Genomic DNA, 14,484 nt, shown 5'->3' with positions numbered 1-14,484 from the left:
GGTGCTAGATAAATGTGTTGATGAATTAATGAAAATGTAGAAAAGTTTTCCATGACATTGTAAACATAGAAAATGTGGATTCTGAAAGAAATCCTACAGTGATTTAGATGGACCTTTTCAATAGCTAAGATGGATAATTCAGCATTGCTCTCAACTGCTCCTGTGGACTTCTGTGCAAATGACCTCTGATAAGTATCTGAAAAGGGAGATGCTGTAAAAGCGCTAGAATCTATTATCCTAACAGTCTCATTACATTTGGCTCTGACCTCTTAGTTCAAATTATAATATACTCCAAACAAATACACTATGATAGATAATTTTTTGTTGTTGTTTTTGAGACAGAGTCTCGCTCTGTCGCCCAGGCTGGAGTGAAGTGGTACAGTCTCGGCTCGCTGCAATCTCTGCCTCCCGGGTTTAAGTGACTCTCCTGCCTCAGCCTCCCAAGTAGCTGGGATTACAGGCACATGCCACCATGCCCAGCTTATTTTTATATTTTTAGTAGAGACGGGGTTTCACCATGTTGTCCAGGATGGTCTCCATCTCCTGACCTCATGATCTGCCTGCCTCGGCCTCCCAAAGTGCTGGGATTACAGGCATGAGCCACTGCGCCTGGCCTATGAAGTAACATTTAAAACAAAATGTCTACCAATAGCGGGGCTGGTTCAAATCGATTATGGCACAAATAGCATTCAAGATGAGGATGTCACTCTGCGTTTGTCAACATAAAAAGATGTTGGTGATACATTGTTAAGTGGAAAAATAGATTTTTTAAAGTCCCCTTCTCTAATTTTTTTCTCCCTCCCTCCCTGCTCTCCCTTCTCTCCATTTGGGGAGATATTCGCCAAAACACAGTAGTTATCTAGGGACTCCTTGAAAATCTCTGGGTAGCCGAGGTTTAAATTTATTTCTTTTAAATAATCTGTGAATGCAACAAATGCAGGGGAAATACGAGAAGTTTGGAGTATGATATTTCTCACTCATGTTCAGCAAGAGAGATGAGTAAGTGATAGTGCTACTTGCATAGGCCCTGGGTATATCCAATGTTCATTCTTAGGGGGAAAAAAGGTTCAACATAAAATCCAAGACAAAAAAAAACACACGATTTTTTAAAGTGAGAGAGCCCTTTTAAATCATGAGTAGGAAATATTTTAATAATATAAACATTCACAGCAAGAGTTCATACAGCTTGTAATTTGAAAAGTCCGTAGGCATTTGCTAAATATCAGGTGGAACAATTTTCAACAAGGGAAATTATATGCAGTTGAAGAGTGTGTTGTTTGGATTATAATTAACTGGTAACTGTCAGGAGTGAAAATGGTACATCTGTGTTAAAAGAGGTAGGACAGTAATGTAAAAACAAGCATTTTTATTCCTGTTTATTGGGTAAAATATACCAAAGTAAGTTCAACTTTCCTGCTGAGGTTCAGTGGAGACATACATAGATTAGTAGTTTTTTAAAATATTGTTCAGCCATAAAATGGAATGAAGCACTGATCCATACAGCAACATGGATGAACCTTGAAAACATTACATTCAGTGAAGGAAGCCAGTCATAAAATACCATATACTGTATGACTGTATAGGAAATGCCAAGAATAGGCAAAATCCATAGAAACAGAAAGTAGATTCATGGTTGCCAGGGGTTGAGGGAAGGGGGAAATGGGGAGTTACTGCTAATGAGCCCCAGGTTTCTTTTTGTGATGATAGAAATGTTCTGGAGTTAGACAGTGGTGATGGTTGCACAATCTTGTGAATATACTAAAAGCCACTCAATTGTACACTTTAAAGTGGTGAATCTTATGGTATGTGAATTATATCTTAATTTTTAAAAGGACACATATTATATATGGTATGATATCGGCCCTCAAAAAATGTACAGCCTTTATACATTATGTAAAATATAGATTAAAAGGCTAAACACGGTGTAATGGTACAGAACAATAGTGTAAGTGTTGCCCCACGATGATAAAGTTGATGATGACGACTATGATGAAGATGAAACTAACCTTTATTGCCAGCCATGGTTCTAAGCATTTAACATGTTTAAATGTTTATTGGTCACCTCCCGCATGCCGGGTATATTCTGGGTTTATGTTTTACATCAGTGATTAAAACACACAAAGACTCCTACTCACAGTCTCACAGAAAGCAACTATGAACAATGGATATAATAAATAAGGACAGCAGAAGAGAAAGCCTATGGAAAAGGAAAAAGTAGAGCAGCTAAGAAGGATTAGACGTGCTGAGTTGCACGTTTCAATAGGGTGGTCAGTTTTAAACAATTTCTTGAAGAAGGTGAGGTGTTCGCCTGAGCATCTCTGGGATCAGCACAAAGGCACCAGCATGGAAGTGGCCCAGTGTGTTAGCTAGCTGGCAGGAACCCAGCACTGCTGGTGTGGTGCAAGGTGGAGGGCATAAGAGGAGCTGAAGGCCAAAAGGTGACATCTTCTCATGCTTCCATGATCTTAGCAATTAAATGTAGAATTCCTTGCCTAAAATAATTCTATTGTTCATTGTGTGCCAGGGGCTTCAGGCTTTGGAGATGTGAAGGATTTGGATAGACATAGAGGCTATTTCCTCACAGGGCTGAGTCATTGGAAGAAAGAGAAACGGGAATGGGCAGAGCATGCTTGGTGTGCAGAAAAAGACCAGCTAGGCAGCAGCAGAGGTTTTAGGTAGAAAAAGGGCAATGGCAGATGGGCTGTTGGGAACAGAGAGACCCTGAATGTTGGACAGGGAAATCCACTTGTGTCCCCTCTGCAGTGGCAAAGCACTGAGCATTTGTATCCACTGTCCTTGCTTGCTAGGGTTTCTACAAGAAAGTTCGTCTGGAAGCTCAGACTTGTGTCAAGAATGAGAAGGTAGAAACACAAAGCAATCAGATGACTTGGCTGTCTTCACATCACATTGAGAGTCAGAGCAGACGCAAGACCCCTGGGCTCTGGCCCTGGCTCAGACACTCTTCACCCACTTGCTCACAGATGAATGAGGCATACCTTGGGGCCCCAGATCAAATGATAACATTATAAGAACAACTGGAAATAGATAAGTCTTTAAAAATACAGAACATAATGTTTTTCCTGTGAAATATAGGGTTGCATTCAAAAACTGTTACCAGAGAATATTCTCCAGAGAAACCTACAGCTATTCAAAACTGCTCTACAATATAAGCTCTTGTTTAGTAAGAAATAAAAGCTATTTAATGAAAGGTCTATAAAAACGGATTTAATAACTTAATACATAATTATATGCTATAAAGTTCATGTGTTGAAAGGGTACACTTGAGTGGGTTTTAGTATATTTTTAATGTATTTACAAAGTTTGCCACCATCACCATAGTCTAGTTCTAGAACATTTTCATCACCTGAAAAGAAATCCCATACCCAGTAACAGTGAATTCCCATTCTCCTCCCCTTAGCACAAGACAACTACCAATCTATTTCCTGTGTCTATGGATTTGCTTATTTGGTACATTTCATAGAAATAGAGTCATACAACATATGGTTGGAAAATGTGTCTCTGAGAACCTCTACAAAAAGGTTTGTCGGTGTTAGCACTCTTGGCATTTGGGGCCAGATAATTATTTGCTGAGGGATGTTTAGCAGCATCCCTGGCCTCTACCTTCTAGGTGTTAGCAGCAACAACCCTCGCTCTTAAGTTGTGACTAACCAAAAGTGTCTCCGGACATCGCATATGTTTGATGGGGGAGTGAGGGGGCAAATTCGCCCCTAGTTGAAACCCACAGATTTACAGTTACCTAAGAACTGAGCTGGGTGTAGGGGTGTATAAAGTGAGGTGGGTGCCTGGACCCAGGGTGCTGTTGTGGAAAGACAACTATTTCAGGGTCTGTGAAGGTCCAAAGTTTGTACCCCAAGTTCCAAAACTCTGTGATTCATTTTAGCAAATAGGAAAGAGATGACTAGGGGCAAGAGGCACAACTGTTATTTAGATGAAGTTATTGTTCAAACAATAGCTGGTGGGGAAAAACACTCATTTTTTCGGTCACTAAAAAAGATAGAGGGTGATGGGTGCACCAAAATCTCACAAATCACCACTAAAGAACTTATTCATGTAACCAAATATCACCTGTTCCCCAAAAACCTATGGAAATAAAAAGACATTTTAAAAGATAGAAATTGTTATTTTAAAATAAAATTCAATAGTATATGCCAGTGGTCTTTACCTTCCTTATAAAGGACTGGAATCATGGTGTCAATAATTCAAAAAGTGTCTAAATTTGGATTTGGGCTGTTTTATGTTACAACAGTAAGAATTAATGGTTCTCAAAGAGCCTTACTTAAGTCAGCTTTAACATTACTCTGCAGACTATAAACACCCCTTGAGCAGCAAAAGGAAGCATGAAATTTGATTTATACCGTAGCTAACGAAAACAAGTGGGCAATCACAATTTGATCATACCCTACTAATCTAATTTAGTCTCAGGAATGGACTAAAAAGAGGAAGCTTGTGGACTTTAGAAATATGTACATTTCAGAAAATATAAGTGTGACCTCTTTTCTTTTCAGAATTGTGTAAGTGAAGGAAGCTGTCATCCTCCCTGGTAAATCCATTTGTAAATAAACGGGCTAAAGAAATCATGACTGTGGTCCTTTCTAGTTCTTAGGATCTGTCCTGCTCAGAGTGGGAATCACAAAGTGATTGAGGTAATAACTGGTATCTTTGTTGTTCTCAGTTTAAAGGAAGTGTTCTCTCAAACTGCCTTAGACTGCGCAGCCTTGACCCTCTAGGACTTGATGCCCTGTGTATGGCATTGTTATCAGATGCAAGTTAGTAAACCCAGATTGTGTTTACAAGTAGGTTGTCATTATACAGTGGCTTCTCTGTAAGTACAAAATGTATATTTCCTTTTTATTTATCATGGACTATAGCAATTACAGAATGTAGCTCTTGTTTTTATCAGGGATATTACTGAGGCCCTTAAACTCAAGCTGACTTACATTTATTTTAAAATACATGTTCCAAAGATGTTTTTAAAATTTTAAATATGCATATTTTTAAGATTTTCCCCTTTAACCTGTTCTCCCATCCTGACATTTAGGATGGGGAATAGACAGAACATCTGAGGGAGTTTGGGTCTCACAGATCGGCTGTAAAATTGAGTAAGAGCAAAATGTTTGGAAAAAAAAAAAAAAAACAATCTGTGTGGTTGTTCATCTGGAAAGATCTGTTCCCCACTCAGTAGCTTACAGAAGGCTCAACATGATATGGATCAGCTCGAATTCATTATCTGACCAAACAGCAACTCAGGAATCTTATGTCCTGTCCAAGGTGTGCTGTGGGACTCAATAATCTCTTTCCAGATCTATTATATCTACATAAAAATATGCATGAGAATCAGATAAACTAGTGGGCCTCAACCAGGAATGATTGTGCCCTTCAGGGTACATTTTATAATATTTGGAAGCATTTTTGGTTGTCACAATTGGAGGATACGGATGTTCCTGGCATCTAGTGGGTAGAGGCCAGAGATGCTGTTAAATATTCTACAATGCACAGGAAAGCCCCCCAAATAAAGAATTATCCAACCCCAAATGTCAGTAGCATTGAAGTTGGGAAATCTTGTTCAAGGAAATTCCCAGTGCCTCAGGTTGTCTTATGAGATGTGGAGCATGTCAATATCCACAGTTGCCAGTTGTGCCATATGGAATGCTGCAAGGAGAAAATATAGATACACATGAAAATGTGTTTTTGGGATTTGGGGAAATACATCTATGGATTTGATACTTTGGTGTTCCAAAGATGTGGCTATTTTTGCCCACAAGTGTTGCCCAAAACCCTGGGGCTATGTGGTGCCTTTTTCACAGAGCAAGTACATAAAGTACAGACTGTTAAACAGATCACTCACCTGCTATAAAATGTCAGTTAATAATGAGGTCCTATCATGGATATTAGTTGAATGATAAGTGCCACTTCTTTCCTCTTACATGTTTATTAGTGTCATCTAAAGCAATGGCTCTCAAAATGTGGTGGCTGGACCAGCAGCATTGGTATCACCTGGGAACTTGTTAGAAATGCACATTGTCAGCCCCCTCCCACACCTACTGAATCTGAAACTTTTGGGGTAGGGCCCAGCAATCTGTGTTATTTTAACAAGCTTCCCCATGATTCTGATGAACTTTAATGCTTAAATCGGAGAACTGTTGGGGACCACCAGCACCTGGGAGCTTGCTAGAAATCACATGACTAGGCCAGGACCTTGTTGAAAGGCAGATTCTCATTTAGTAGGCCTGAGAAAGGGATCAAGATTTGGGACTACAGATATGATAGCTTGGGTAAAAACTACAAAATTTCTCCTTTTTGAGCCTTCTATTTCCCTCTTCAAAAATTGGGAAGACATTGTATTGGTTCCCTGTTGCTGCTATAATAAATAATCACAAACTTAGTCGCTTAAAACAACACAAATTTATTATCTTACACTTCCAGAGGTCAGAAGTCTGAAATGGGTCTCACTGGGCTAAAATCATGGTACCTGGTGACTGTAGGGGAGAATCATTTTTCTTGACTTTTCCATTTTCTAGAGGCTGCCCACATTCCTTGGCTCATGTTTCCTTCCTCCATCTTCAAAGCCAGAAATGGCCTGGTGAGTCTTTCTCATATCACATCACTCTGACACTGACCCTTCTGCCTCCCTGTTCCACATTTAAGTTGCTCCTGTGATGATATTAGTCCCATATACATAATTCAGGACAATCTCCTTATTTTAACAGCATATGATTAGCAACATTAATCCCATCTGCAACTTTAACTCCTCTTTGCCAGGTAGCATAACATATTCACATATTCTTGAGATTTGGATGTGGACATATTTTGGGGGGCATTATTCTGCTTCCTACACAAATAATTTTACCTTTATTCTCCAGCAAAATTTGTGTCATAGAGAAAAATCTTGGAAGGAATCCAGTCAGGACCAATCTCCTACCAATTCAGAAATCTTCCTGCAAAATCCTCCAAACTTGGCCATGTGATACTAGCTTCTCAGCTAGACTGTAAGCTGTATCCTACAGAAGACCCTATCTTATAGTTATTCTCCATCTCCTCAGTGCCTAGAAGAGAATTTAGCTCATAATAGATACTTAGAAAACATTCTTTGATTGGTACACTGCTTTCAGGCACATAGAGCACGATATGACTATATAGACTGTGGAATCTTGACTTTGTGAAACTGAGGGATTGATGCTGAATCTCTGTCAAGCCTTATTACCCTCCTGTGTAAAATGGGGATAATATTACATTCTGTATAGGATTGTTGTTGGAATCAAATGAAATGTTGTAAATAGAGCACATGGAGATATAGATATAATTTACATGAAACGTCTGAAACCATAACATGGTAGAATACTACCTTGTGATAATTTGCTAACAAAACTGCACAAGATAAGGACAGGTGGTATTGAGTCTCTTTACATAATGCTTACTGAAGTGTCGCCTCTGGCTTCATTTATAACATCAATTTAGAAGCAGTGTTTCTCAACATAGACTATATTTTTGAACCATTCGTGTAGCTTTTAAATAATATTTTTGCCTGGGTTCCATTCTACCTAGTTTCTGATTTACTTGGTCTAAGCATTGGCTCCAACTCTTGCTATGTTTTTGAATCCCCTGGGGAAGCTTTTATAAATATCGATGGCCAGGTGCCACCTCCAGAAATTCTGTTTCGATCAAATATAATGTGTAGCCATGGTTGAGATCCATTGAACACAACTTATTCTACCTTATAAATTGTTACATCTGCCAGACCTTTACTGTATATGAGAAGTTGTAGTTTTATCAACTTTGCCTGAATCAGTGGATGTTTTTCTAATTTCCATTCAATGTCATTGGTGGAATTAAGAACACTCAACATAATGACATTTGCAATTATAAAGGTGGTATCACATCCCCAGAGTTTTAGCAGGATGGCAGAACCACAGTGAGCACTCAGAAAACGTTTGCTAATGATGGGCCAAAAAAAAGTGTCTTTTATGGTCTCTTGATTTATTCAGGAATATTGCATTGCAGTTGAGTCTCTCACAGAGTCCACTTGAGGCTGCTAACATGTTGATTTAATGAATGGGTGCATTTCATGAACCACCCATCCGAGTGAATTACTTTGGGTGTAGCTGTTTTGATTTTTCCTTCCTCTGAGTATATGGTTTTGTTAATTTAAACAAATTCAGTTGTTTTACCATTTTGTAGACACATTCTTTGTGTGGCCAAGAATCTTGTTTGTGGTGGCCACACCACAACTGGATTTGAATGTAGAGCAACCCAGCAAAGAAGTGCTAATTTGAAGCAATTGTTAACATTGCCAGCAACAAACCAAAGTGACCTCCATCAATGGGTTCAGTTAGCAACCCTGAAGGCAAGACACTCTGTTTATTCCATTATCGTTTCCTTCATCTATCAGAAACCCTAATCTTCATGGATGATGAAATAATAACAATCTCAAACTTAAGATATATTTTGTTCATCTTAATTTTCTAAATGTCCTTTTTTCCCCTCAGTACAAACATAATACATGTAAATAAATTCCAACACTATAAAAATTCATTAGGCAGTGTCAAAGTCCCACAAATCCCATCCTCCAGTGATGGCCACTAATAACCATTTGAGAATATATAACCCCAGATCTCCCTGTTAAATTATAATAAACATTTATGTCCATAACTTGTGTTCTGCAACTTCTTTGTTTAACTTTACATATAGTGGATATCTTTCCAAATTTATTCAGAGAGAACTACTCCACTTTTTTTCATGACTGCCCAGAATTCCACTGAATAGATACCCCGTAGTTTAGTTAGCCAGTTGCTCACTGATGGACACTTAGGTTTTTTATGTTTCTTTAAACATATATGCATATAACTAATATATAATAAAATTAATTATATATAAGTATTAATATATATATTTTGGTAGATTATAATACACATGTAGAGAAGTGCACATAAGTTTACAACTTAATGAATTTCTGCAAAGTGAACACACCTGTGCCAGATGGAGAACCATCCCTGACCAGCACCTCACAGGGATCCCTTGGACTCCCTTCCAGTCACTTCTCCCCAAAGGTAACCCCTATTCTGTATTTTTGTAGCATATATTGGTTTTATCTGGTTTTATAGATTACATTACTGGTATCCTACAGCATGTTATTTTTTATGTCAGACTTCTTTCGCTCAACGTGATGTCTCTGGGATTCATCTGTATTGTTGTAGGTGGTTGGAGTTTGTTTTTTCATTCCCATTACTGCATAGTTTTCCATTATGTGATATACCACAATTTATTCAGTCTACTTTCACGAACATTTGGATAATTTACAGTTCGGGGCTGTTTTGAATAATGCTGCTATGAACATTCTAGCACACATATTTTGGTGAACATATGCTCACATTTCCGTTGTTTTTATTGGTGACTGGGTTTTTTTGCTATCAGATATTGTACTGAAGTGAATGTCTTTGCAAATGTATCTTGCACATTTTGCAAGTATTGCTATAAAGTAGATATTAGAATTGCTGGGTCAAATGGTATTCACAGAACTGCTCCGAAAAAAATTTTGATTTTTTTTTTTTTTTTTTTTGAGACAAGGTCTTGCTCTGTCGCCCAGGCTGGAGTGCAGTGGTACAATCATGTCTTGACTGCAGCCTCGAAATCCTGGACTCAAGCAGTCCTCCCATCTCAGCCTCCCAAAGTGCTGGGATTCCAGATGTGAGCCACCATGCCTGGCCTAAATATTTTGACTTTTAAGCTAGGTCTGGACCTCAAGTAACCTATTGTGGATACACCCCTTTGCTATTACCATTATCTGTGACACAGACGCTGCTATTGTGTCTTCCTGACTACAAGGCAAGACTAACAAAAACCAGAATCTTCTGGCTCTTTTCAGTCACGCTCTAGTGAGCTAGTGCCTCTTTCATGTATCCACTGAGGGACAAAAAGATAAAATGACCTAGTGTCCCAGGATGCCAGCTTAAACTTTTGAGTACATTGATGCTATGATAATATACACCAAATGGACTCTGTGGCTCTAAGTACCATCCACTCCAGATTGAGATAACCTCCTTTCCCAAGTAGAGAAAGAAGATTCTAACCTGGAGGTGAGAGCCATTTGCATGTCTTACCAAAAAATGTCCCATTCAGAATGAGCTGACATTGGGAGACATTAGGTTAGAGCAGTGTTTCCCAACCTTGGAACTGTTGACATTTAGGGTGGGATCATTCTTTGCTGTGGGGGCCGTTCTGTGCACTGTAGGATGTTGAGAAGCATCCCTGGACTCCACCCATCACAACTGGCACTTTCCTCCTCAGTTGTGACAACCAAAAATGTCTCCAGGCAATGGCAAATGTCCCTTGAGGGGCAGAATCACCCCAGTAGAGGACTACTAAGCTAGTGCTTATAGAAGACCCCAGCTCTAAATCAGATTATGTTCAGATTCTGGCTCAGCCACTTTTTATGTGACCTAGGACAAAGTACCTAAGTTCTCTGCCTCATTTGGCTCATCTGTTAAATATAGATATTAATAGTAATATTTACCTCAATTGGTTGTTGTTGAGATTAAATGAGATTATTAATGTGATGCACTTGGCATAGTCTTTGGCAAAAAAATAAGTGTCGAAAGTTGTTAGGTTTATTAGTCATAATCTTTATTATTATTAAAAAAAAATGGAGGGGTGGAAGAAGGGGTCCCATTGTGTATCCTGGAAAAAGGATGAGGATAATGCATATCTGAAAAAACATCAAAGGACAAGGGGCTCATAACTCTTGGAACACAGGCAATGGGAAATGGAAATGTGGAGAAAACATTAAGTGCTATGATGGAAGACAATGGCATTTGGTTGTCTCTCTCTGTTCCTTCTCAAGTTAACATTTGGAAACTAGAATTTGTGGAAAATAGACTTTGGCAGCAGAATTAGGCATTTTTAGGAACAGGATAAATCACTGTGGGGAAATATTTTATTGTATTACTCTTGTTAATATGAAGTTATTAAACTTTCAATAGTGTGTTGAATGCTTTTATCTTAAATAATAAAATATATTCAGTGCTAAAGCAGCTGTATTGTTTTTGATATTATTAAGTAGAAAAATTTATCTGTTAGGAGCTTTGTTGGGTTGATTTTCACCTGATACCCTCTTCTCCCACCAAAGATCTAACTTTCATAAATTCTGGCAATAGAAAAACAAGTCATCATGTTAAGCTAGGTCTGAACCTTAAGAAACACACTGTGGCTGCATCCCTTTGTTATTGCCATTATCTGTGATGCAGATACAGCAAGACAGAGTGGCATCCTGGACGGGACTCCAGATGGAGAGTATGAGTCCAGGGTTATGTCTTTGTGTTGCCAAGCTGCACCTTGGCTTGTCACTTCTTCCCATTGTGCCTCAGGTTCTGAGCAGATGGAATTAGTTTAGCATGTCCCAACTATATTCTGGGGAATTCGAGTGATATGGAGAGATGGTCTGAAAATTAAAAAAAAATAAAAAATAGAAGGAGGTGAGATTATAGCAAGTGTATTTAGGAGGTACTCCGAGTTATGATTTCCCCTCTGCAGGACTTCTCTATTATTCTTATTGTTTATTGTGACTACTTAAGTTGAAGCTACCATGCACAACTTTTTCAAATATATTTGATTATGGAACAGCTTGGAAAATCCTGCATTAAATAATGTATGTGTCCCTTGCAGGCATAAAAATATTCTGATTTCTTTTGAATTAATCTGTCATCATGGCTGTGACAAATTACCATAAATTTAGTGCCATGAAACAATACACATTTATTATCTTAAAGTGCTGTAGGTTAGAAATCTGACACAGGTTGCACTGGACAAAAATCAAGGTGTTGACAGAGCTGCATTTCTTCTGGAGGCTCTAAAACCACCCACACTCCTTAGCTCATGGCCCCCTTCCTCCAGCTTCAAGGCCAGCAATATTACATCTCTTAGATCATTATTCTATAGTCACATCTTCCTCAAACTCTGAATTCTGCTGAAAGGGGTTGTCCTATTTTAAGGGCCTGTGTGGTTACGTTGGGCCCACCTGGATAATCTAGACTTCTGTCCCCCTCTCAAGGTTATTAACTTAATCATATGGGCAAAGTCCCTTTTGCCATGTAAGGTAACACATTCCCAGGTTCCAGAAATCAGGGTGTGGAAACCTTAGGGGTGAGAGATATTATTCTGCACTACCTATCCTAGTGGCTTCTTCCATTTCTCAACCCTGGAGGGTGTGGGGTCGTGTTCTGTAGAGCCAGGAAGAAGTTCAGCATTTGTTCATCTGCTTTTGACCCTAGCAACTCATGAAATGTGCAATGACTATCTTGTAAGGGGTATTAAATTCTTCTGGCTTTTCCTCACCCAGTAAGCAATAAAATCAAAGAGGACAAGAGTAATTAAAGCAAGCCTATTGATCTATTTTGTGTAGCATTCTTTTTAGCTTCTCTTCTGATATAGGCAAGAATATCTCCCTGAAAGGAACTAAACTCTGAACTGTACTTTAACAAGTAAAATTGCCATGCTGGATATCAACAATTAGTCTTTAGAGTTAAAATATAAACATAAATGATTAAATTAGTTAATCTACTCTTTGTGGTATAGCCATTACAGGGCTAATTTTTTTTTAAAAAAAAAAAGAATACTAGAAACCTCTAAATTTTTCAAGACACTCATATTCATCAGACTGTAAAAAGCAAAAGAAACTGAAGGATTGTGTTCCTTATCACAGCTTGGAAAAAGCTCTGATGGCTGATCTATATGAAGTGGAAACATTGCATGAGTTTTCTTGTAATTGTTGATATCTCATGTGAATGGAATGAGGCGGAAAACAAGTTTTGCACTAAAATAAGTGTTTGAATCTTGCTATTTGGAGTCATGTTGTCTACGTTTTTTTTTTTTGTTTTTGGCTACATAGTTACCATATGATCCAGCAATTCCACTTCTAGTTATATACCCAAAATCATTGAAAACCTACGTTCACACAAAGTGTGTATGAATATTCACAGCAGCTTTATTCATACCAGTCAAAATGTGGAAAGAACCCAAATGCCCATCAACTGAAGAATGGACAAGCAAAATTTAGTATATCTATACAGTGAATATTATCCTGCCATAAGAATGAATGAAGTAATGACACATGCTACAACGTGGATGAACTCCAAAAACATGCTAAGTGAAAGAAACCAGACACAAAAAGCCCACATATTATATGATTCTACTTTTATATTAAATGTCAAAAACATGCAAAACCATAGAGACAGAAAGTAGATTAGTGGTTCCCAGGGGCTGGGGTGAGAGGGGAATGGGGAGTGACTGGGTATGGGCTTTCCTTTTGGTGTGATGAAAATGTTTTGGAATCAGTGATGATGGTTGTACACTATCTATGAGTATACTAAAAAGAAACACAGAACTATACACTTTAAAGTGGTAACTTTTATGGCATATGATTTTTATGTCCAAGCTCTTCTATTATTTTACTATAATTTATTTTTGAAAATGTAAATTTCAATATGCTTCATTGCTCAGAGAAAGCATGATTTTCTATACATCAGAGCAAAAGTATTTACACAGGTCTGTGAAATACTGTGTAATTTATCATTTTAAAAGTCGTATATTGAGGAGAAAACATTTTTGAAAAATAAATCTGAAAAGTGGCAGCTAGAAAATCAGATGTGAACCAGTAAGTGCAGATGGCTTGTTTTCACGTCATACCTGCATTTGGTGTCATACTTCATGTTGGTTTCTCCCTTTTCAATTTTCCCTTTTACATGTTTGTCTCTTAATACTAAAAGTCAGGAAGCAAGATTTTCTTTTTTTTGCATTTTTACTGGAAGTGATTTTAGCTACTTTAAAATAAATGTCCTAAATATAAATATTCCCTGCTGGTCTTGTTTCCATGCTAATAGACAGAAATGATTTTCTGTATAGACAGAATTGCTACTCTCCTTCAAATTTTCTTTCAACCAGCAAATATACAAAAGCACAAAATGTTAGTGCTGTTTCTATTCTTCCAGAACCTACAGTCTAGCCAGGGAGAAAAGGCACAAATATAGATAATCAAATAGCTTTCCAATGTTTAAATAAGAGTCAAGAAAATAGCTGAGATGGGGCAGGGTCGGGGGGAGATGAGTGTGATGGTTACATAGGAGGGACGTATCGGTGACGTTAGAGTTTTCTGGAAAAATAGCTGACATTTAAACATTCCCACCCCTCCTCTTTCCTCCCTCAATGAGACATCACAAGTGATTGTCTAGACATCTCAAGTGTCTAGGTCATTTGGAACCTTGAAAGAAGCAGATTCGCCTTCTTTAACAAACATAAGGTGAATTTCCTTTGGTCATGTTTTGGTGTTCCTTATAGGTCCATAGTAAACTTGTTTGTGTTTTAGATGGTATGATTTTCTTGTTAATGTGATGATTCATTTGTAATGTCCCTGTAGGGGGACGACAGGGCTTCTCAGAGGAGGTGATGCTCAGTAAGCATTACAGGGTGAGTAGGAAG

The 14,484-nt window shown here is 38.2% G+C and overlaps 1 protein-coding gene across 4 annotated transcripts in view; it reads left to right on the top strand.

Annotated features, from left to right (window-relative positions):
- ARHGAP6 (Rho GTPase activating protein 6) overlaps nucleotides 1-14,484 on the top strand; it is a 528,377-nt gene that overhangs the window by 375,601 nt on the left and 138,292 nt on the right. The gene's annotated exons all lie outside the window — the stretch shown is intronic.

This window comes from Homo sapiens, chromosome X (assembly GCF_000001405.40).
Source record: "Homo sapiens chromosome X, GRCh38.p14 Primary Assembly".
NCBI classification, from domain to species: Eukaryota; Metazoa; Chordata; class Mammalia; order Primates; family Hominidae; genus Homo; species Homo sapiens.
Note: the sequence above shows the minus strand (reverse complement) of the source record. Positions and strands in the feature narration are given on the sequence as shown.